Source organism: Homo sapiens, chromosome 9 (assembly GCF_000001405.40).
Source record: "Homo sapiens chromosome 9, GRCh38.p14 Primary Assembly".
NCBI classification, from domain to species: Eukaryota; Metazoa; Chordata; class Mammalia; order Primates; family Hominidae; genus Homo; species Homo sapiens.
The window spans coordinates 136,948,359-136,969,059 of record NC_000009.12 but is presented as its reverse complement, the minus strand read 5'-3'; the positions used below and the strand labels follow the sequence as shown (position 1 = coordinate 136,969,059).

At 60.3% G+C, this 20,701-nt stretch overlaps 1 protein-coding gene across 10 annotated transcripts, besides 6 other annotated features; it reads right to left on the bottom strand.

Annotated features, from left to right (window-relative positions):
- Nucleotides 92-591: an enhancer, noted in NCBI's record as "H3K4me1 hESC enhancer chr9:139862921-139863420 (GRCh37/hg19 assembly coordinates)". NCBI's record gives its function as "activates a minimal SCP1, AML or CMV promoter by ChIP-STARR-seq in primed H9 embryonic stem cells {active_cell/tissue: H9 hESC(primed)}" and the evidence as "EXISTENCE:reporter gene assay evidence [ECO:0000049][PMID:30033119]".
- Nucleotides 592-1,093: an enhancer, noted in NCBI's record as "H3K4me1 hESC enhancer chr9:139862419-139862920 (GRCh37/hg19 assembly coordinates)". NCBI's record gives its function as "activates a minimal SCP1, AML or CMV promoter by ChIP-STARR-seq in primed H9 embryonic stem cells {active_cell/tissue: H9 hESC(primed)}" and the evidence as "EXISTENCE:reporter gene assay evidence [ECO:0000049][PMID:30033119]".
- Nucleotides 9,703-10,203: an enhancer, noted in NCBI's record as "H3K4me1 hESC enhancer chr9:139853309-139853809 (GRCh37/hg19 assembly coordinates)". NCBI's record gives its function as "activates a minimal SCP1, AML or CMV promoter by ChIP-STARR-seq in naive H9 embryonic stem cells {active_cell/tissue: H9 hESC(naive)}" and the evidence as "EXISTENCE:reporter gene assay evidence [ECO:0000049][PMID:30033119]".
- LCN12 (lipocalin 12) lies at nucleotides 12,522-19,863 on the bottom strand. 10 transcript variants are annotated; one of them, XR_007061284.1, is made up of 7 exons: nucleotides 19,392-19,862; nucleotides 16,619-16,740; nucleotides 16,032-16,168; nucleotides 15,281-15,360; nucleotides 14,805-14,906; nucleotides 14,234-14,336; nucleotides 12,522-13,689 (listed from the first exon to the last, which is right to left on the bottom strand). XR_007061284.1 is itself a non-coding variant. In XM_006717065.4 (6 exons), the coding sequence occupies exons 2-6, from the start codon at nucleotides 16,730-16,732 to the stop codon at nucleotides 14,287-14,289; spliced, it is 1,068 nt and encodes a 355-aa protein (XP_006717128.1). In that variant the 5' UTR covers nucleotides 16,733-16,740; nucleotides 19,392-19,863; the 3' UTR covers nucleotides 12,522-14,286. The 10 variants fall into 10 exon arrangements, 6 of the variants coding, with proteins under 6 accessions (XP_006717128.1, XP_011516864.1, XP_011516862.1 ...); XR_001746279.3 differs by lacking the exon at nucleotides 19,392-19,862 and adding an exon at nucleotides 15,096-15,212 and having other exon boundaries at nucleotides 16,619-16,787; XR_001746278.2 differs by lacking the exon at nucleotides 19,392-19,862 and adding an exon at nucleotides 15,096-15,212 and having other exon boundaries at nucleotides 14,234-14,906; nucleotides 16,619-16,787.
- Nucleotides 15,966-16,147: a silencer, noted in NCBI's record as "fragment chr9:139847365-139847546 (GRCh37/hg19 assembly coordinates)". NCBI's record gives its function as "represses an EF-1alpha promoter that drives an FKBP-Casp9 reporter gene in an ReSE screen in phorbol 12-myristate 13-acetate-treated (for megakaryocytic differentiation) K562 erythroleukemia cells {active_cell/tissue: K562(+PMA)}" and the evidence as "EXISTENCE:reporter gene assay evidence [ECO:0000049][PMID:32094911]".
- Nucleotides 18,771-19,270: a silencer, noted in NCBI's record as "silent region_20563". NCBI's record gives its function as "represses an Ori minimal core promoter by ATAC-STARR-seq in GM12878 lymphoblastoid cells {active_cell/tissue: GM12878}" and the evidence as "EXISTENCE:reporter gene assay evidence [ECO:0000049][PMID:35858748]".
- Nucleotides 19,291-19,390: a silencer, noted in NCBI's record as "silent region_20562". NCBI's record gives its function as "represses an Ori minimal core promoter by ATAC-STARR-seq in GM12878 lymphoblastoid cells {active_cell/tissue: GM12878}" and the evidence as "EXISTENCE:reporter gene assay evidence [ECO:0000049][PMID:35858748]".

Genomic DNA, 20,701 nt, shown 5'->3' with positions numbered 1-20,701 from the left:
GACTTCTTACCACCCTGGTCCTGTAATGAGGCCCCTGGGGATGGCTGACCCTGGGAGGCCGCTGCTGACCTTAGCTGGGGCTTCCCCAGAGGACCTTGGCCTTGGCCTGGCCACAGCCCAATTCTCAGGGGTCCCAGGGAATATGTGCATTTCTGAGTTCAGGACTTGGTGACCCGGGCGCTGGGCTGTGGGGGTGCGTCAGCTCTGGGCCCGTTGGCAGAGGCACGATGGGCAGGTGGGCCAGAGGACGTGGGCGCAGGCTGGAGGGTCCAGACACCTCCCACTGGGCCCAGCAGTCTCTGGGTTCCTCTAAGGCCTTGGGGGGCCTCTGTCCTCTTCCAGGATCCCAGCAGCTCCCTGGAGCTCAGCCTGCATTGGGGAGCATCTTGTGGGTCTTTGGTCTCTGCCTCACCCCCAGGTGCCCTGTCCTGGGCTACCCACCCTCCCTCAGGCCTGCTCACAGGGCACTTGGGTTATCTCTGGAGGGCCCTGGGCCAAGGGCAGCCCAGCCTGTGTCAGGAGCTGCAGCCAGGTTGCTAGAGAGCCCGGGCCTCCTCGCCGAGGGCTGTCAGGGCTCAGCTGTCCCAGGCAGGAACCTGGTGGCCGGCAGGTGGTGGGTGACATGACACGGGGACCTCACCTTCTCTCACTGTCTCCTCCACATCCAGCCTCCCTCAGGTCCCTCCATGTGACTAAGGCTTTGCACAGACTCCCAAGGACCCCCCGGCCATGTGCCCTCTGAGCAAGCGAGCGGTATTAGAGGCGTGGCAAAGAGGTCACAGATGGGGCCCGGCTGGTGTGCAGGGGGCTCAGGGGCCCCTCCCTCCCAGGAAGAAGCCCCTCCCCCACCCGCCCAGCCACGCTGGGGTGAGGGCTGCCGGGGCGTGGGCAGGGGAGGGGCGAGCCTAGAAGGGAAACTGCCAGGACCCTTGGTGGGGGCTGACCCTCACCAGACCGAGAATTAAACAAATAGAAACAAAGATGTAATAGGGGCCGGGTGCGGTGGCTCATGCCTGTAATCTCAGCACTTTGGGAGGCTGAGACAGGCACATCACGAGGTCAGGAGATTGAGACCATCCTGGCTAACATGGTGAAACCCCGTCTCTACTAAAAATACAAAAAATTAGCTGGGCGTGGTGGCGGACACCTGTAGTCCCAGCTACTCGGGAGGCTGAGGCAGGAGAATGACGTGAACCTGGGAGGCAGAGCTTGCAGTGAGCGGAGAGCGTACCACTGCACTCCAGCCTAGGCGACAGCAAGACTGTGTCTCAAAAAAAAATAATAGTAATAATAAAAATTAACTTCCCTTAATTTTCTGATATTTAAAGATTACAACATACTTCAAGAACATGACTCATTGTTTTTACTTAAAAAGTGAGTTTTATCTTTTTCTTGTTTACTTCACATACTACACTGATGTAAATATCCTTTTAAAAATTTTATTTATTGAATGTAAACTTTTATTATTATTATTATTTTTTGGATATAGTATCTTCCACTGTCGCCCAGGCTGGAGTGCAGTGGCATGATCTTGGCTCACTGCAACTTCCGGGTTCAGGGGTGGTAGACGCCTGTAGTCCCAGCTACTTGGGAGGCTGAGGCAGGAGAATGGCGTGAACCCGGGAGGTGGAGCTTGCAGTGAGCCGAGATCGAGCCACTACACTCCAACTTGGGTGACAGAGTGAGACTCTCTCAAAAAACAAACAAACAAAAACAAACAGAAACAAAGATGTAATAGGAAGATCCAAGTCAAAAGCTGACTCTTGGAAAAAACTAATATAGTTTAAAACTATAAAAAACTAACATAGGGCCGGGCGCAGTGGTTCACGCCTGTAATCCCAGCACTTTGGGAAGCCAAGGCAGGTGGATCACATGAGGTCAGGAGTTCAAGACCAGCCTGGCCAACATGGTGAAACCCCGTCTCTACTAAAATACACAAATTAGCCGGACATAGATGGCGGGTGCCTGTAATCCCAGCTACTCGGGAGGCTGAGGCAGGAGAATCGCTTGAACCCAGGAGGCAGAGGTTGCAGTGAGCCAAAATCGCACCATTGCACTCCAGCCTGGGCAACAAGAGCAAAACTCTGTCTCAAAAATAAATAAATAAATAAAAATTAAAAAAAAAAAACAGTTACTTTAGAAATATATATATATATATATATATATATATATATATATATATATATAGAGAGAGAGAGAGAGAGAGAGAGAGAGAGAGAGAGAGAGAGAGAGACGGAGTCTTGCTGTGTTGCCCAGGCTGGAGCGCAGTGGTGCGATCTCAGCTCACTGCAACCTCCCCTCCCGGGTTCAAGTGATTCCCCTGCCTCAGCCTCTTGAGTAGCTGGGATTACAGGCACCTGCCACCATGCCTGGCTAATTTTTGTATTTTTAGTAGAGACGTGGTTTCTCTATGTTGGCCAGGATGGTCTCAAACTGCTGACCTCAGGTGATCTGCCTGCCTCAGCCTCCCAAAGTGCTGGGATTACAGGCATGAGCCACTGCACCCAGTGTAGAATGTTTTATATTTACAGAAAAAAAATGTGAAGACAGATCAGGGAGTTCCTGCGTGCCCCTCCCCCAGTTTCCCTCTCGCTGGCGTCCTAATTCTCATGGTCCCTTTGTCACAATCAGTGAGCCAGTGTTGGGACGTCGAGTCAGCTGACATCCAGGCTTTCTCCAGATTCCCTTAGTTACTGAAGGTCCCTTTCTCTCCAGGACACCACGTGACATTCTGTCTCTCTTCCACGGGCTCCTCCTGAGTGACGTTTCTCAGCTTTTCCCGGTCCTTGATGACCTCAGCAGCCTTGAGGGGCGCTGCTCGGGTGTTTGTGGGGCGTCCCTCAGTTGGGCTCCGTCTGCTGAGTTTCTCACGCTGAATCCGGTGATGGTCGGGAGGAAGAGAATGGGGGCGGGGCTTCCTCCCACCACATCACATGGGGGACACCATCAGCGCGACCTTCACTGCCCATGTTGACCTTGGTCACCTGGCTGAGGTTCCCCCACCCTAACCCTGCACCTCTCCGTCTTTTTCTTTTTGAACTGTCCTCTCTGGATGAAGTCCCTGTGTGTGGCCCTCACCTCCCCCGGAAGGGGAATCCACACACATTTGCAACTTTGCTGCACCGAGATCATTTGTCTCTGCTCTCCCATGGGTGGGCACAGCCCTTCACTGACATCCGTGTGGACCTCAGGTGTTTTACACTTTGGCTCACACCCTACTGTCACATCCGGTTTTGTGGCTCACATCAGGCCAGCTGCAGCTACTGGCAGCTTTTCCATTGGCTTCTGCGTCCTTCTCTGCGAAATGGTTTTTTTTTTTTTTTTTTTGAGATGGAGTTTTGCTCTTGTCGCCAGGCTGGAGTGCAGTGGTGGGATCTGGGCTCACCGCAACCTCCGCCTCCTGGGTTCAAGTGATTCTCCTGCCTCAGCCTCCTGAGTAGCTGGGACTACAGATACCCGCCACCACACCTGGCTAATTTTTGTATCTTTTAGTAGAGACGGGGTTTCTCCATGTTGGCCAGGCTGGTCTTGAACTCCCGACCTCAGGTGATCCGCCCGCCTCTGCCTCCCAAAGCGCTGGGATTACAGGCGTGAGCCACCGCGCCCGGCCTCTGCGATATGGTTTGACGCACACACCCACGAAACTATCATTGCAATCAGGGGGCAGCTGTGTTGGTCGCCCTAAAGATTCCCTGAGCCCCCCTGGAGTCCCTCCCTCCCTCCTCTTTCCACCACCTCCCCTGCCCCCAGGCCACTGCTGTGTTTCCGTCGCTGGAGATGAGCCTGGCTTTCTGGGGCTTCGCGTCCAGTCCACGTGCACCACCTTTCTCGCTGCCTGACGCCCTCCGCCCTCCGCCCTCCGCCCTCCGCCCTCTGCCCCACGCGGTTATTTTGGGGCTTGCAGGTTGTTGAGAGCATCAGTAGCTCCTTCGTTCACTGCTGGGCAGTGTCGCGTTGCACAGATACATCACGATTTGTTCTCCTTCACCTGTGGGTGGACCTGGGGGTGTTTCCAGTTTGGGGCCATTACAGATAAAGCCGCCGTGGGCACACGCATCGTGCGTGGGTGTGTGCTATATCTCTTTTGGGTAAATACCCAGGAAGGCAATAGCCAGGTCCTATGATGGTGTAGCTTAATTTTTAAAATACTGACGCACTGTTTTCCAGTCCTTTCAAGATAGGCCTTTCTCCTTCCTGTAGCCGCCTTGGGGGGTCAAGAGCACCCAGGGAGCAACACCAGGGCTACCTGGTCCACTCGAGGCCGTGGGAGTGGGAGAGGGTCTCACTGAAACCCCCGAGCTTGCGGCAAGGCAGCAGAGGACCTGGCGTGCCTGTGGCTGAGACTGGACAGAAGTTTCTTTCTGTTTCTTGCAAACATCCAGTCATGGAGGCTTCCAGCGCCAGGTGTGCGGTCCGGCCCCTCTCTAGGACAGCTTCCCGGGAGCGCACCTGGCGTCCTGCTCTCTGTGCAGATTCAGCCACCAGGCCACACAAACACAGCCGGGGAAGCAGGGAGCTACAGCCTAGGTTTCCATGTCGAGCCAGAGGAGGTCCCTCCCTGGGTGTGGCCCGAGTCTCCTTCCTCTGCCGAGCAGGGAGTGGCAGGTTGTGCGGGGGCTGGGGAGGACAGGCGGCTTTGATGCCGTGTGGTCAGGCAGGTGCTGAACCCTGGGGCACTGCCACGCCTACAGCTGCCCAAGGCAGCAATCGTTGGGTTCACAGACCCCCTGCCCGTCTGAGGTCAGCGCCAGGCCTGCAGGGCCCCTGGTCAGCGAGCGTCTGCCCAGGGTGCCCCACGGTCACAGGGGGCTGAACCCCGGCGCTGTCCAGCCTGAGGGGAGGGGGAGAGCAGAAGAGAAACTACCCCAAGCCCCAGAACCACCTCCAGGGCCAGGGTGGGCACGGTGCTCCCTCTCCCCTGCCAGGCCTGGGATGGTCCCCCCTGGAAGGGTCACAGGACAGTGTGGGTATGAGATGGGCCCCCTCCCCCAACTCCCAGGTGCCTCTGAAGGGGTTCCCCGAGCCTGCTTGCTGCTCCCTGAGCTGACCCCCAGCCCCAGCCCTGCAGCCCACCCACCCCGTGCCTCGCCTTGCCGCCCAGCGGTGGAGTCTGTTCTCCCCTCATCCAGGGGCTTCCGCTGGCTCCGGAACAGCAACCCCCAGACCCCAGGCCCACATCCTCAGCCCGGCCTTAGAGCCCAGCCCTCTCCTCCTCCCTGCCCCCAGCCGGCCCCATCTCCTGGGCTCGTGGCCTTTCCTGGTTTGGGAGGTCAGCGATGGCTCCAGGGCAGGCCTGGGGCCCCATCGACAGAAAGAGGACGCCTGCCTTGAATGCGGAAGGACCCGCCGGCTTCACCATCCAGTGTGGGGTTCTTTCATCCCACAAGGACTCAGACCCCATGGGAAGGGTGCTCTGTGCTGGCCTCTGGCCCCACTGGCATGTGGACTGCCTCCTCTTCCTCTGTCTGACATCTGTCTGCCAGGCTGGGCCGTCCTCATGCTGGCATCTGCCGCGTCTCCTGCCCTGAGCACTCCCAGGCCCTGGGCTCTGTGTCCCGAGTCAGGCAGGGACGGGGCAAGACGCTCATCGGCATCCTCCCAGCCAACTCGGGGTCCGGCCTGAGGATCCCTACAACCCTGAGCCCCCTCCCAGGGCAGAGTCCCCGTGGGGACAGAGCCAGGGACCCGCTCTGATCACCACTGAAGTGCACAGTTGCTGGCTGGATGGAAAAAACCCAAATCCCAGTTAATCCACACAAACCTAAGAAATAAGACAATTTCCTGCAAAACAAAATAGCTTTTTCCACCAGCATTCCTCTCCAACGGGGCCCACACGTCCACATCCCTTGGGAGATGTTTCAGAAGAAACAAGGGAGACTGTATCACAGAGCAAAGGCCCTGTGTGCATGCGCGCGTGTGTGTATATGTGCCTGTGTGTGCCTGTGTGCATGTGTGTACCTGTGCACGTGTGTGCGTGTGTGCATGCATGGGTGTGCCTGTGAGTGCCTGTGTGTGTACACGTGTGCCTGTGTGTGCCTGTGTGCACACGTGTGTGCCTCTGTGTGTTCACATGTATCTGGCATGTGTACGCCTAGGCAGGCGGTGCACAGAGATGGAGACAATGTTTCAACCTCCCTGATACATCCTGGGCAGCTGCTGCTCCCTCACCATGGTGACTGTACCCACAGCCACTCCTTCTTTGAGATCCCACAGCCCCAGCCCACTCCTAGTTCTGGTTTGCCAAGAGGACACTAGGAGGTGGCTCCCCCAATGGCCCACCTCAGGAGAGCCCCTGGGGTGGGTGGAGCTGCCTGGGGTTGGCTCTGAGGACCCTGGGCTGCCCCTGCACAAGCCCCCCACAAACTTCACCCCCTTCGTCTTAGTCAGCTTTCTGTGGCTATAACTGAATACCTGACATTGGAAATGTACAAAGAAAGTAAATTTATTTCTTACAGTTCAGGAGGCTGAGAAGTCCAACGTCAAGGGGCCAAGTTGCAGTGTGGCAGAGGGCAAGAGCTGCCAGCTGAGGTCTCTCTTTTCTCATAAAGCCACCAAGTCCACCATGGGCCCAACCCTGAGGACCTTATCTAACCCTAATCACCTCCCAGAGGCCCCACCTCCAACCAACATGTGAATTTGAGGGCCGGGCAAGGTGGTTCACGCCTGTAATCCTAGCAGTTTGGGAGGCCAAGGCAGGAGGATCACTTGAGCCCAGGAGTTCGAGACCAGTTGGCCAACATGGAGAAACCCCATCTCTACAAAAAACTTAAAAATTAGCCAGACGTGGTGGCGCACCTTCGGTCCCAGCTACTTGAGAGGCTGAAGTGGGAGGATCGCTTGAGCCAGGGAGGTCGAGGCTGCAGTCAGCAGAGGTTGCGCCACTCTGCTCCAGCCTGGGCGACTGAGCTAGACCTTGTCTTAAAAACAAAAAAAAGTGGATTTGGGGATGAAATGTCAACATGTGAAATCTAGGGACACGTTCATATCATAGCACCCCGTTTCCAGCAGAGGGGCCCTGGGGACTGGGAGGCCAGATCCTCCCCACACCCTAGGATTAGAGAGGGGCCCCTCAGCCCACCTGTCCCCCTGTGTGGGGGCCCTGGTGGCTGTCCTGACTCTGTGGGCCGTCCTGCCAGGAGCCCCGAGTCCCCGCATTGTATGTATGGGGCACGTGGGGTGAGTCTCGGGGAATCGGCGAGCCGGGGCCAAGTTTCTCACGCCAGGAGGTTACTGGGAAAACGTGCTTCCCAGGGACCGGGGGAAAGGTAGCAGGGCCTAGGGTCTGAGGGGGTCTCCAGCTCAGCTCTGCACCACAGGTCTGGCCCCCCATGCCGCCCACTCAGTCCCTGGATGACTCTGCCCCCAACCCTCCTTCTTCCTCCTGCAGAAAACATGCAGAGGCAGCGCTGGAAAGCCCCAGGCAGCTGGTCCTGGCCCAGCAGGCCCAGATGGTGGCCGGGAGGGCGCTGCTCTCGGCCAAGATAAAGAGACCGGATCAGGCAGGGCCTGAGGGACAGGGAGTGCTGGGCCCAGCTGAGCTGGGCGGCCCTGGGCTCAGGAGCCAGCAGGAGCCCCCGCCCTGCTCAGCCAAGGCTCCAGGTCCCATTCCCAGCAGCCCTGCAGGCAGTCCCCTCGCAGCCCTGTCCCTGCAGGCCCTGGTGGGTGGGGCTTCCACTCGAGTTCCTGAGGAGCCTGGCCTCCCCGCTCATCTCTGTGCAACAGCCCCAGGCTTTCCAGTCCTGGTGTGTACCCCTCAACTCCTCCTGCAGGGCTCAGGGCCCTGGCTGCCTAGTCATGCGCTGTGAAGGGGAGTGTGGAGGAGAAGTGGGCCAGGCAGGGTAGATCCACGGCCACCATCCGTGGCCTCACGGGATGCCTGGTCCACCAACACAGCTCTGAGCTCCATAGTCAGTGCCCAGCGGCCTCGTGCTCCGCGCCAGGCCCTGCAGACATGAAGGCAGGGAGGGTGGGCTCTGCCTGGTGGGAGAGGGTCAGTGGGTGTTCTGAGAATGCGAACATGAACGTGTGCTGCACCCCCAGACCCAGACCCGGGAGCCCAGCACTCAGCGGGAGGAGTTTCACCCACACACGGCAAGAGGTGCACGTGGGGGCATCCAGCGTGGCATCACCATGTCCCACCGTGGGAGCCGTCTCACAGCAATACGGGCACCTGAGTCGCACACCTCGATGAACACCCACGTGAGCAAAACCTGATCCTGACGTGGAACATTCCAGACCCCCTCCACCTCCTGCCAGCTGCAGGCAGCGCTCCGATCCCCAACACAGAACATTCCAACATTCCACACCCCCCCAGCTGCAGGCAGCACCCTCACCCCTGACCACAGAACATTCTACCCCCACCCACTGCAGGCAGCACCCTCGCCCCCGGCCACAGAACATTCTACCCCCACCAACTGCAGGCAGCACCCTCGCCCCCGGCCACAGAACATTCTACCCACCCCGCAGCTGCAGGCTGTACCCTCACCCTGGCCATAGAACATTCAACCCCCGCCCCCAGCTGCAGGCAGCACCCTCACCCCTGGCCACAGAACATTCTACCCCTCCCAGCTGCAGGCAGCACCCTCACCCCTGGCCACAGAACATTCTACCCCCCCGCCACCCAGCTGCAGGTAGCACCCTCACCCCTGGCCACAGAACATTCCACCCCACCCCACAGTGTCCCCACCCCGGACGCAGCAGCCACAGACCTGATTTCTAATAGTGGAGAGGAGCTTGGCCTGTTCTAGAACTTCATAAATGGAATCACATAATGTGTGGCCTTTTGTGTCTGTTTTTGGACACAGACCCAGCCCCGCACCCAGGTCAGGCCACTCTTGAGGTCAGGGCACAGCTGTGTCCACCTCCCCACCACACACTACACGCCCTCAGATGAAGGTCTGCACGGGAGCAGGCCCAGGACCCACAAAGACAGAACAACGCTAAGGGGACCCTGTGCTTCCCACTCCGCCCAGGGGCTCTGCAGCCTGATCCTGGGAAAGCAGTGTGGGCCCAGGTGCTGGGCGGCTCTGGCAGGTCTTCTACCACCTGTGCCTCACTTTCCTGGTCTGGGGTGCTGGGGTGGATACCCAGGAGCCTCCGGTCGCCCCAGGTCTGAGAAGTGTGAAGAGGAGCTGGGCCTGGTCCCCCTCCTGGGCCTGTGGACAGCCTGGCCCAGACCCGAAAATTCCATTCCCGCCTGCCCAGCCCCTCCCAGGCTGCCTCTTGGTGTCTGAGAGGGCGTGGGTGGAGCGCTTGACCTGTGGGGCAGCCCAGGGAAGGTACCCGGTGGGTAGAGTGCCCCGAGGGGGCATGAGCTCTGCGAAGGGGTATCGCGGGGTGAGGACCGGAAGGGACCCTCCCCACCGTGAGCCGTGCGGGAGCTGCTTCCCACCAGAGCCCACCATACCCAGCCTGAGCCCTGGGTGGCCTGTCTGTGGTCACCGTCACTGTCACAGTCTCCTGTGGTCACCGTCGCAGGCACAGGCTCTGTGTGGCTGTGGTGGGCCCTGGACAAGGCTGAGAGGGACCACAGCTGGCCTTCGGGGAAAGGCCCCCTCTGCCACCGCAGGGGCTGATCCGGGAGGTGGTGGTGGCCACTGGAGGCACGGAAGCCAGCCCTGGGTCCAGCCCCTCCACCCACCAGAACTTACCTGCTTCCCAACCCCGCTGACCCTGTTCTGTGGGAGGGGCAGGCACAGGCTGTTCCCAGACCCAGCAGGCCCAGATGTAAAGAGATTCAGGCCAGGGTAAAGAGATTCAATCTGGCCACCCACAGGGGCCTGGGCTGCCGTGCTTGGGGCATGGGGGTAGGGGCCAGCAGGACACCCCACCCCACTGGGCCAGCCTGGCTTGACTCCAGCAAGCAGACAGGTGGGCAGGCGGGCTCCCTCTCTGGTCTGTGTCCAGCCCCAGGCCTCTGGGCTCACATGCCGGCAGACATGCCTGGACCACCTGCCTGGCCTCTCCTGGCCTCGGCTCCACGCCGCCAGCTCCCAGCCCCGTCCCCTGGTGCAGACATGGGGAAAGGGTCTTCAGCCAGGAAGGGCTGGTGCCCCTGGGGGACTTGCGGGGAGGAGGTTCACACAGGGCCCGCTACCACCAGGGCCAGAGAGAGTTGTATCACCCCAGGAAAGATGGGATGAGGGGGGCTGTGGTAGCTGGAGTCCAAGAGAGGGAGGGCTGTGTGGAGGGGTCCCCTGACCACTGATGGGGGAACACAGCCTCCACCCAGGACTGAGGACTTCTGGGAGAGAGACCATCTGCAACCCAGGTGGGAGTGAAGTGGGCCAATGGGACTGCACAGCCACTCCGGCCAGGGCCAGTGACACAGAAGGGGGTGGCTGGGGCCCTGGATCCAGCCAGGCCTGAAGCCCGCCCTCCCCATAAGAGCTGGGAAGGAATGCAGGCCTAGGCAGCATCTCCTGTCTCCCCAGCCAGGAGCTGATACGGAGGGAAGGGGAGTGCGCTGGGCTTTGCAGAGGCACCGCCAGGGAGGAGGAGGGCACCGCCAGGGAGTCTTAGTCTCTGCTTGTGCCTTTGTCCGGGGAGCTGGTCACCACTGGAGGGTACAGCTGGGTGCCAGGAAGGCGGTGGCTCCCACCAGCACATGGTGGTCATGATCTTGCAGCCGGGGTTATGTTCCCTGCCTTGGGGGAGGGAAGCTGGCAGGGGCAAGGTGACCCTGCCAAGTGACCAGCCAGCCTTCCTGAACCTCACAGTTTCCCCATCTGTGCAGAGGGACTGAAAAGAATTTCCGCTGGCAAAGGCTGTGCCAGGTCAAGAGGGAGAAGGTGGCCTGCGGAGTCTCTCTTAGATTGTCAGGGGCAGGGCAGGGCTCTCTTCTCAAGCTGAGCCTCTTTAGGCCACTCCTCTCTTTTGGCCTAGGTCCTGTGCCTGGACCCCATGCAGAAGCCATCCCCTGCTGCAGCCAGGCATCGGGTGAGGGCGTGGCCCAGGCCCCAGGCTGGTGAAGGCCCAAGTCCTGGCCCTGTAGAGTGAGTCTCACCCATGGGGACACCGTGGCCCAGTAGGAGGAGGGATGAGGGAAAGGACTAAGAGAGTAGAGAGTGAGGCCATTGCTCTGGGGGACCTTGTGTCTGACCCCCACCCCAGGGTTGAGGGACACCTCCTTGACGCGTTCAGGAAAGAACACCCAACAAGCCCTTTCTGCCAAAAGACAGCCACCTTCACTCTCAACCTTCCTAGGGTTAAATCCAATATATGCCAGGCTGTGGTCCAGGATTTCTGACACCCAGGCTTGTGTCCTCACAACCACACAGTATAGAATATCTCCCAATCCAGACACAACCAAACTTGCTGCTTTTAACCTCAGCCTCCCCATCTAGGGCACAAGAAAAAAAGAGCAAAAAAGCATCATCCATCCAACTATCCATCCACCCACCCTTCATCCATCCATCCACCCACCTACCCATCATCCAACCATCCATCCACCCACCCACCCATCATCCAACCATCCATCCACCCACCCGTCATCCAACCATCCATCCACCCACCCATCATCCAACCATCCATCCACCCACCCACCCATCATCCAACCATCCACCCACCCACCCATCATCCAACCATCCATCCACCCACCCACCATCCAACCATCCATCCACCCACCCATCATCCAACCATCCATCCACCGACCCATCATCCAACCATCCATCCACCCACCCATCATCCAACCATCCATCCACCCACCCATCTCCAACCATCCATCCACCCACCCACCCATTATCCAACCATCCACCCACCCACCCATCATCCAACCATCCATCCATCCACCCACCCATCATCCATCCATCCACCCACCCACCCATCATCCAACCATCCATCCACCCACCCATCATCCAACCATCCATCCACCCAATATCCAACCATCCATCCACCCACCCATCATCCAACCATCCATCCACCCAATATCCAACCATCCATCCACCCACCCATCATCCAACCATCCATCCACCCACCCACCCAATATCCAACCATCCACCATCTACCCATCATCCAACCATCTATCCATCCATCCACCCATCATCCAACCAGCCATCCACCCACCCACCCAATATCCAACCATCCACCATCTACCCATCATCCAACCATCCATCCATCTACCCATCCATCCATCCACCCAATATCCAACCATCCATCTATCCATCTAACCGTCTATCCACCCATCCATCATCCAAACATCTATCCATCATCCGTCCACCCAGCCCTTCATCCATCCATTTATCCATTAATCTACCCATCCATCCACCCACCCATCTACCCATCCTTCCATTTATCCATTCATCTGCTCATCTGTCCATCCATCCACCCACGCAACCATTATCTAACCATCCATCCATCCATCCATGCACCCATCATCCATCCATCCATCCATCCATCCATCCTTCAGCAGCTTTCTCTGTGTCAGGCGCCATGTTGGAATGTGGGATAGAGTGATGGACAAAGCAGGCCTGTGCCTGCCCTTGTGGGAGTTGTGTGTTGGGGAGTCAGACACACAGAAAAGGTTGAATTGTGGCTGCAGTAAGCACCACAGCTGGTGTCGTTTGACTTGATCATGGGGATCCATCTCGTTGGGGCCGTCAGGGCAGGGAGGAATTCCAGTCTGTCTGCTGTCTCTGTCCGTCTTCCAGTTCCAGAATCTGCTTGGATCCTGTACAGCCTGCCCAGCAGGAGGTGCACATGATGGCAGAAGGATTCTAAACAAGGGCCATGCTTCTGAGTAGCGGGGTGCTCCTGGTGGGTGAAGGTTAGGCACCAGGTTGGGGGTCTCTGGATGCTCTTTACTCTCTAGCAAGGCCAGAGACCACTAGGGTCCATGGCCGCCCTGGGTGGTGTCCTGCTCTCCCTGCCCGGAGGACAGTGGGGGCTGAGATGGACACAGACATCGGAGGGCTGAGAAATGAGTTGCTCTGGCTGGCCGGTGGGGGTGGGCGTCCGAATACAGACATCTTGCAGGGGTGTACAGTCAGGGTTGGGGGGCTCAGGCTGGGAGTGGGTGTCTGGGTTGTGACCTCAGACCCTTTGTGTCTCTGTGCCCAGCAGGCTCCAGCCCGAGGCTGCTTGTCACCGCCTCCCCTCTCCCAGGCCTGGGGCATCTGCACCAGGGCCTCCTCCTGTTCTGGGACCCTGGTAGCTCCAGGCCAGCTTCCCTGACAGAACAGCCGCTGCCTGGGACAGCTCGGGGTCTGAGTGTTTCCGGGGCAAGCTCCAGCCCGGCTGCATCTGGTATGGCAGCCCCGAGTGCTGACCAGGGTGGAGGTGGAGAAGAGCCTGCGAACTCCCACAGCCAAGGGCCCAAGGGGCAGGGATGGAGGGGCCTTGGCCTGGGAACGACCTTGTACAACCTGCAACCATGGGCAAAGACTCATGCATGAACATACATGTGCATGCCCTCACTGACAGAGTCACACACACTGGCCAGAGACAGCCGGCTGGGGGGCCATAGTGTGCCCAGAGAAGGAGCTGTTGCAGCCCTGCAGGGTCAGCGGTCGCCTTGCTCCTGTCTCTTTGCCCAACCCAAGGTCATAGTGGTCACACTCTGGGGCTCTGGGCTTGGTGCATTTATTCAGGTTTGAGAGCTGAGGAGGGCAGAGCTCGCACAGCTGTGAGGCAGGGCTGGGCCGGACAGGAGCTGCTTCATCCTTCAACAGACGCTGGCCTGGGGTGACCAGCCTGGTGGGGGAGATGGAGTCGGGATGGAGGACAAAGGGGGAGCAGGGGACAGAGCCCAGGAGGAAGCAAGGGAGGGCACAAAGGAGGGGCAGGTGGCTTCAGGTGAGAAGCAGGAGGGAGAAAGGGGACCAGCAGTGGGTCTAGGGGAAGGGGCTGGGGTGAGGGAGGCTGAGAAGGGGCAGAAGATGTGGCCCACAGCGGCTCCCAACAGCCCCAGGTCCTCAGGAAGCCCCTCACCTGTCCCTGTCCCCATGGGCCCCCAGACTCACTGCAGACCCAGGAGGCCTGGCATAGCGAGTGTGCAGGTGTGTGCAGGTGTGTGCAGACCAGCACGTGTGCCTGTGCACGGGTAGACAGCATGTGTGCCAGTGTGAGTGGCGTGTGTGTAAGTGGGTGTTCGCATGTGGAGGCATGTGCCAGTCTGTACACGTTTGCTCATGCGTGAGTGTGTGTGCATGTGGTTATGCACATGTAAAGGACCAGAGGCGGGAATCAGAAGGGCACGGTGGGCATCCCTCCAGGAAGAGGAGGGACTCAGGCTGACCTCGCCCTCCCACAAGAAGAGTCAGGCCTTGGGGGCCGCGGCTGTCTGAGTGGTCAGGCTGGGGCTGCCACCCAGGGCAGGCTGCTGAGGTCCAGGGCACCTCCTGGGATGAGTCCAAGCTCCTTGTGAGCAGGGATGGGTGAGGGGAGGAGGTGGCCCAGGACAGGGGACCCAGAGGGAGGAGATGGCCCGGGACAGGGGACCTGGGGTGGGAGGAGGTAGCCCAGGACAGGAGACCCGGGGTGGGAGGAGGTGGGCCGGGACAGGGGACCTGGGGCGGGAGGGGCAGGGGGAGGTGGCCCGGGACAGGGGACCTGGGGCGGGAGGAGGTGGCCCGGGACAGGAGACCCGGGGTGGGAGGAGGTGGCCCAGGACAGGGGACCCGGGGCGGCAGGAGGTGGCTCAGAGCCTGGGTTGAGCACAGGGACCCAGGAGCCTGGAGACCCCTGAGCGCAGGCTGGGGCTGAGCTCCCTGGGTAGACACTGGGTCCAGCTCCTCTAGGGTCAACCAAACTCATTCCTGCGGGCCCCGTGCCTACTGCCCAGCATGCCTGCAGGTGAACCATGTTACCAGTCACATCTGGGAAGACGATGTTGTCATCCGAGAGGCCCTGAGCTCTGCCCAGGCAGATGAACTGGTCCAGCGTCCCGGGAGGCAGCAACCAGCTCCTGCCTGCAGCCCAGGGAGCCCAGCATGGGTCTGTGCACTTGGCAGGGGGTTGGGGGCTGGGTAGGTGGGAGATTGAACTATCTGTACCCCCAAGTCACTCCAGGCGGGGTGGGGAGGCAGGGTCTGACCCAAAGCCTGGAAGGAGGTGCCTCCAGGGCCACACACGGGCCCAGGACGGGGTGGGAGGCTCACCCAGCAGGCTGATCCTGAGGACGGCCAGCCTGCTCGTGTGTCTGCGGGACAGCATCAGGGCGAACTGGGTGTAGTCGCTGTCCACCACCCGGGTCTCCTCTCTGTCCGCCCCGGGCTCTGAGGCGGCACAGACGTCACATCCCTGTGGGCCAGCACCCCGTCCCTCCCTCCTGTGACTGGCTTACCCACACCGTGGTCCACAGTGAACTGCCCAGGCTGGGCTGCCGGTATCAGCACATAAGACCATGTGTCACAGTGCTGGCCTCTGTAGGAGGGGACAGGTGGAGGCGGAAGGCTCCGGAAGCTGGCAGGTCCATGCTGAGGTGGGCCCCTCAGGAGATTTCAGCCACTTATTCAGAGGGACCCACGGCGGGAGTGGCCAAGCGTCATGAGTGGAGATGGTGTCTAACTATGTTGCTCAGGCTGGTCTCAAACTCCTGAGTTCAAGTGATCCTTCTGCCTCTGCCTCCTGAAGTACTGGGATTACAGGTGTGCGCCACTGCGCCCGGCCCCTAAAGTGCTGGGATTACAGGTGTGCGCCACCGCGCCCGGCCCCCAAAGTGCTAGGATTACAGGTGTGCGCGACCGCGCCCGGCCCCCAAAGTGCTAGGATTACAGGTGTGAGCCAGCGCGCCCGGCCCCTGAAGTCCTGGGATTACAGGTGTGAGCCAGCGCGCCCAGCCCCGGAAGTGCTGGGATTACAGGTGTGAGCCAGCGCACCCGGCCCCCGAAGTGCTAGGATTACAGGTGTGAGCCAGCGCGCCCAGCTGCCCACACTTTTTTGTATACTCCCCAGCTGGGTTTGGTCATTGGCAGGCAGAGTCATGAAGCTGCCTGTGCTGGGACAGGGCCCATGGCGCACCTGAGCCACTGGCGGCTGGGACCCAGGCCCGGGATCCTCCTCACCCGCTTGGAACGGCAGGGACAGCCACTCACCGAGTCATCGCATTCCACACCTCAAAGCGGCCATCATCACTTAGCTCAAAAGTTGCGGTGAAAGCGTTCAGCAGCGCCCTGTGCTCCGGCCTGAAGCTGTTGCCCGCCAGGCCCAGGACGAACCATTCCCCCTGGAACTACAGAGGCGGTGGTGGGCAGGGGCGGCGGTGGGCAGGGGTGGCAGTGGGCAGGGTCAGGAGCCCCCTCCCGCCCTCCCTGGCAGCTTCTGGACCCCTCACAGAGCAGTGCTCCTGGCTGGGCCGGCGCCAGGGACACTGGCAAGAACCAGAGCCTACTCTGGGTCTGGCAGGGACATGGTGACCCTGGCCAGTGGCTGTGCGGCCTTCCCGAGCCTGTTTCCCCTCACGCACAGAGGGAGCGATGGGCTGGGCTGACGGCAGGGAATGGGTGCCAGGAAGGTCTGCGCTGGGCCCTCCTCTGCTGGAGGTCAGGGGCCCGCCTGGGGGCTCCTGGAAGCACGGCTGGTCCTGGCTCTCTGGGCAGCATCCCCAGGCCTGCTCAGCCACCAGCCTCTCCCTGCACTCAGACCCAGCCGGCTGCTTCTCCTTCCGTCAAAACCCCTGTACCTGGTTTCCTTGGAAGCTCTGCATCGGGGGCGGGAGTGGCAGGGGGGTTGGGGTCTGGGCCTGCAGGACTTTCAGCAAGGAGAGCCACAGCCACAGGCCACACAGCAGCCTCATCCTGGCAGCTGCTGGGCCCACAGGGACAGAGAGAAGGAAGTGGCCATGGGCAGGTGACCCAGAGACCCACCTCTTCATGCACATACCCAGCAGGTGCCCCTCCCAAGGGGGTGTGCCCCTCTGCCTCCCTCCTCAGGACTGGCAGGAGAGGTGGTGCCCAGGGCAGGCTTGGTGTGGGCTCTCCTCAGGTCCCACCCACCCACCTGCGGTCTCTTGGGTTCCAGCCAGGTGGGGTAGGAGGGGCCCCCAGGTCCACCTTCCACCTCTTCTTCTCATTTCTGAGGCCCTGCCCCCTTCAGCCCCCTTCCAAGTGCCCCATGCTGGGGGTTCAGAGGCCCCACGCAGCCTGCCCCAGCCTTCCTCCCTGTCACAGAATGTTGCGTCCCAGGCAGACAGCGTGACCTGCCGCAGCCATAAGGGACAGGGCCCAGCTGTGGCCAAACCCGGGCATTCCCCCTGCAGGGCCTGGGCCTGCCAGCCGCCCCCCTACCCCCACCCTGCCTGGCTCCACACATGCCTGAACCGCAGCGTGGGCCGTGGCCCTGGAGCAAGAACAGGACCAGGGAGGGGCCCTGTGGCCATGAGGCCGGGGTGGAGGTGGCCCGAGCAGGCGAGGAGGGAGGCTGGGGCCTGCAGAGCACCCAGGCAACCTGGTGAGGACAGCTGGGGCATTTTAAACGCAGTCTCTGCCCAGAGGGAGGGGCAGGGCTGGGAAGCCCCACTAATGGGAGTGGGCACCCCATGCTGGTCCTGCCTAAAAGAAAGGATTAGTAGGCCAGGCACAGAGGCTCATGCCTATAATCCCAGCACTTTGGGGGGCCAAGGTGGGAGGATCTCTCAAGCCCAGGAGTTTGACATCACCCTGGACAACATAGCGAGACTCCATCTCTACAAAAAAATTTAAAAGTTAGCTGGGGGTGGTGGTGCACACCTGTGGTCCCAGCTACTTGAGAGGCTGAGGTGGGAGGATTGCTTTAGCCCAGGAGTTTGAGCCTGCAGTAAGCTATGATTGTGCCACTGGACTCCAGCCTGGGCAAGACTGAGATCTCATCTCTAAAAATATAAAAATAAAATGTAAACAGAGGGCTGGCAGGGAGGGCAATGGCAGGCTTGGGGCTTCTAGCTGCCCTGGCACCCCTTGGACGATGGGGCTAGGGAGTGGAGTCCCCTTCCTGACCTCTCCTCCCATCCTCACAGGTAGCTGAAGCCTCTGGGTGCTGGACTCCATGTTAGGGGTCACCAAGGGTGAGCCAGGTGCCTCCCACTCACCGTGTGCCTGGCCTGTGAGCCTCTGTCCAGGCCCCCCAGGTCCCTGTCCTGGCTGCCCCCTCCCACCCCAGATTCCCTGTCCTGGCCACCTCCTCCCCTCATCCAGCCCTGCTTACAAGGGACTTAGGCTCATCCCAGGAGGTGCCCTGGGCCTCGGCAGCCTGCCCTGGGTGGCAGCCCCAGCCTGGCCACTCGAAGAGCCCAGCCCCCAGGACTTCAGGGCTCCAGGGCTGGGCTCTGTCCCAGGCCTCACTGCCCACGTAGAAGGGCAGCTTGCTGTGCCTTGTCTCACCAGCACAACGCTAGCGTTTCAGGAGGCTGGCCCAGGGAAGGAAAAGTTGGAAATAATCTGTTCATTCCCCTGAACTCCCCAAGGCGCCTTCGACTCTCCACCATCCCCCTGGCCCCAGCCAGCCTAGGAGCGCCTGTCCGCAGCCCCAGGGTCCCGCTCTCAGCGCAGCAGGCACCCCTCCCGGAGCCCGTCTTATCGCAGGGCACTGGGGAGATTTGGGATCACAGCACACAGCCCATGTACAGGACAGTCCCCGCTACGGACCCCGCCCATGCAGGGCCCTGCGGGAGGAAAACCGGGCCTTCCCTGGCCAGCCCGAGACCCACAGAGACTGAGCAGCAGAGGTCGGGTGGGCCGAGTCCTCGACACAGAGGAGGGTCCCTCGGCTCCAAGCAGCGCCTCAGGCCCCATGCTCCCTCCCCCAGACCCACTCCTGCCGCCCTGGGGGGTCTGTGTGTGCCTCCAGGTAGCCACTGGCTGCTGCCGTTAACCTCTGTGCCCCCCACGTCCCCTGCAGGAGCCTCCCGGACACGACAATGGGTTCGGCGCGCCTCCTCCCCCCACCGCGGGGCAGACGCAGGTGCTGCTCCTCCCGTCTAACGTGATTGGTGGAGGGTGGGCACGTGACCTCCGCCGCCCAATCAGGGCCCTGCAGGTGCCTTTGCCTGGCTGGGCCGGCGGCGCTGGAACGGGCCGTGCAGGACGCGGGCCTTGAGGCACCTGCGGGGCTCCCGGGGGAGTCCTGGCTCTGACCTCGGCCTTCCATACCGCCTGGGGTGGGCGGGCCGGGCGCGGCAGCACACGCCAGTGAGCCCAGCGCTTTGGGAGGCCGAGGCGGGAGGCGGTGCCCGGGAGCTTGCGTGCCACGGGGAGGAGCAGCCGCGCCTTCTGCAAGGCGTCCTTGAGAGGCGGGAGGGAAACCGCCGCTTCCACTCAGCACCCTGGACCCCCAGCCCACCGTGGGGACCGGTCCCTGGGGCCTCTCCCATTGACCCCTCCCATCAGGTCCTCTCTTCCCTCTGCTTCGCTCCCCGGCACCCCCACCCCCAACCCATCGCCTTCATCTCGGCCTCCCCACAGCAACAAGGACAGACTTACCCTCCACTGCTCTTCCTCCGTTCCCGGAAAACTCCCGGCCTGTCCTCTGCTCACCCTCCCCTCTCTCTTCCCACTCTCCGGGCAAAGACCTTTTCCCAGACACGGTCCTGGGCGCTGGGAGGCCCCTTGGGGGTGGGGTGGGGGGCCAGGGGTGGTTGGGGCGTGGCTGGGGAGGAGGGTGCCTCGTCCCCACATGGAGGAGTCCTGGCCCACCTGTCCCTCTGAGCACCTGCGTGGGCAGGGAGGACGGGCACGGCACCTGCCTGTCGGCCCTGCCTGTGGGACCAGGGGCTCCCGGGGCCCCACACAGCACTCTCACGTCCAGGCAAGGCGGGGGCACCCAGGACAGTCCTGGACTCCTGACCCCGCAGGTCTTGGGCAAGACTGCTAACAATTAAATGTTAGTTTCTATAGATGAAAAAACTTTTTTTTTAAATAGAGATGAGGTCTCACTATGTTGCCCACCCAGTCAGATCTTGAACTCCTGGCCTCAAGCGATCCTCCTGCCTCAGCCTCTCAAAGTGCTGAGATTAAAGGTGTGAGCCACTGTGCCCAGCCAGTTTGCATAGTTTTGTTGTTGTTTGTTGTTGTTTTTTAAATAAATTGAGACAGAGTCTCGCTCTGTCACCCGGGCTGGAGTGCAATGGCGCGATCTCGGCTCACGGCAACCTCTGTCCCCTGGATTCAAGCGATTCTCCTGCCTGAGCCTCCTGGGTAGCTAGGATTACAGGCGCCCACCACCACGCCTGGCTAATTTTTTTTGTATTTTTAGTAGAGACGGGGTTTCACCATGTTGGCCAGGCTGGTTTCAAACTCCTGACCTCAAGTGATCTGCCCGCCTCAGCCTCCCAAAGTGCTAGAATTACAGGCGTGAGCCACAGCGCCCAGCCATTTCCATAGATTTTTTTTTTTTTTTTTTTTTTGAGACAGAGTCTCACTGTCGCCCAGACTGGAGGCAGTGGCATGATCCCGGGTCACCACAACCTCTGCCTCCTGGGTTCAAGCAATTCTCCTGCCTCAGCCTCTGGAGTAGCTGGGATTACAGGCGCCTGCCACCATGACCAGCTAATTTTTGTATTTTTAGTAGAGACAAGGTTTCACCATGTTGGACAGGCTGGTCTTGAACTCCTGGCCTCAAGTGATCCACCCGCCTCAGCCTCCCAAAGTGCTGGGATTATAGGCGTAAGCCACCACGCCCAGCCAAATTATGCAAACTATTTTAAAGAACAATGATTCACACAGAGCTATCGTGATTTTATGTAGTGTTTGAAATTTAACTAGAGCTCATTCAATGCTTCTGTGAAAATGAA

Excerpts from the sequence above, each read along its gene's own strand:
- LCN12 (XM_011518560.3), bottom strand. The coding sequence starts at position 17,008 with ATGAGAAGAAGAGGTGGAAGGTGGACCTGGGGGCCCCTCCTACCCCAC. Across the intron at positions 15,361-16,031 it reads GTGTGGAATGCGATGACTCG|AGGCCAGCACTGTGACACAT; the intron begins GTGAGTGGCTGT and ends CCCCTCCTACAG. Across the intron at positions 14,907-15,095 it reads CCTCAGGATCAGCCTGCTGG|GCAGGAGCTGGTTGCTGCCT; the intron begins GTGAGCCTCCCA and ends CCTGGGCTGCAG.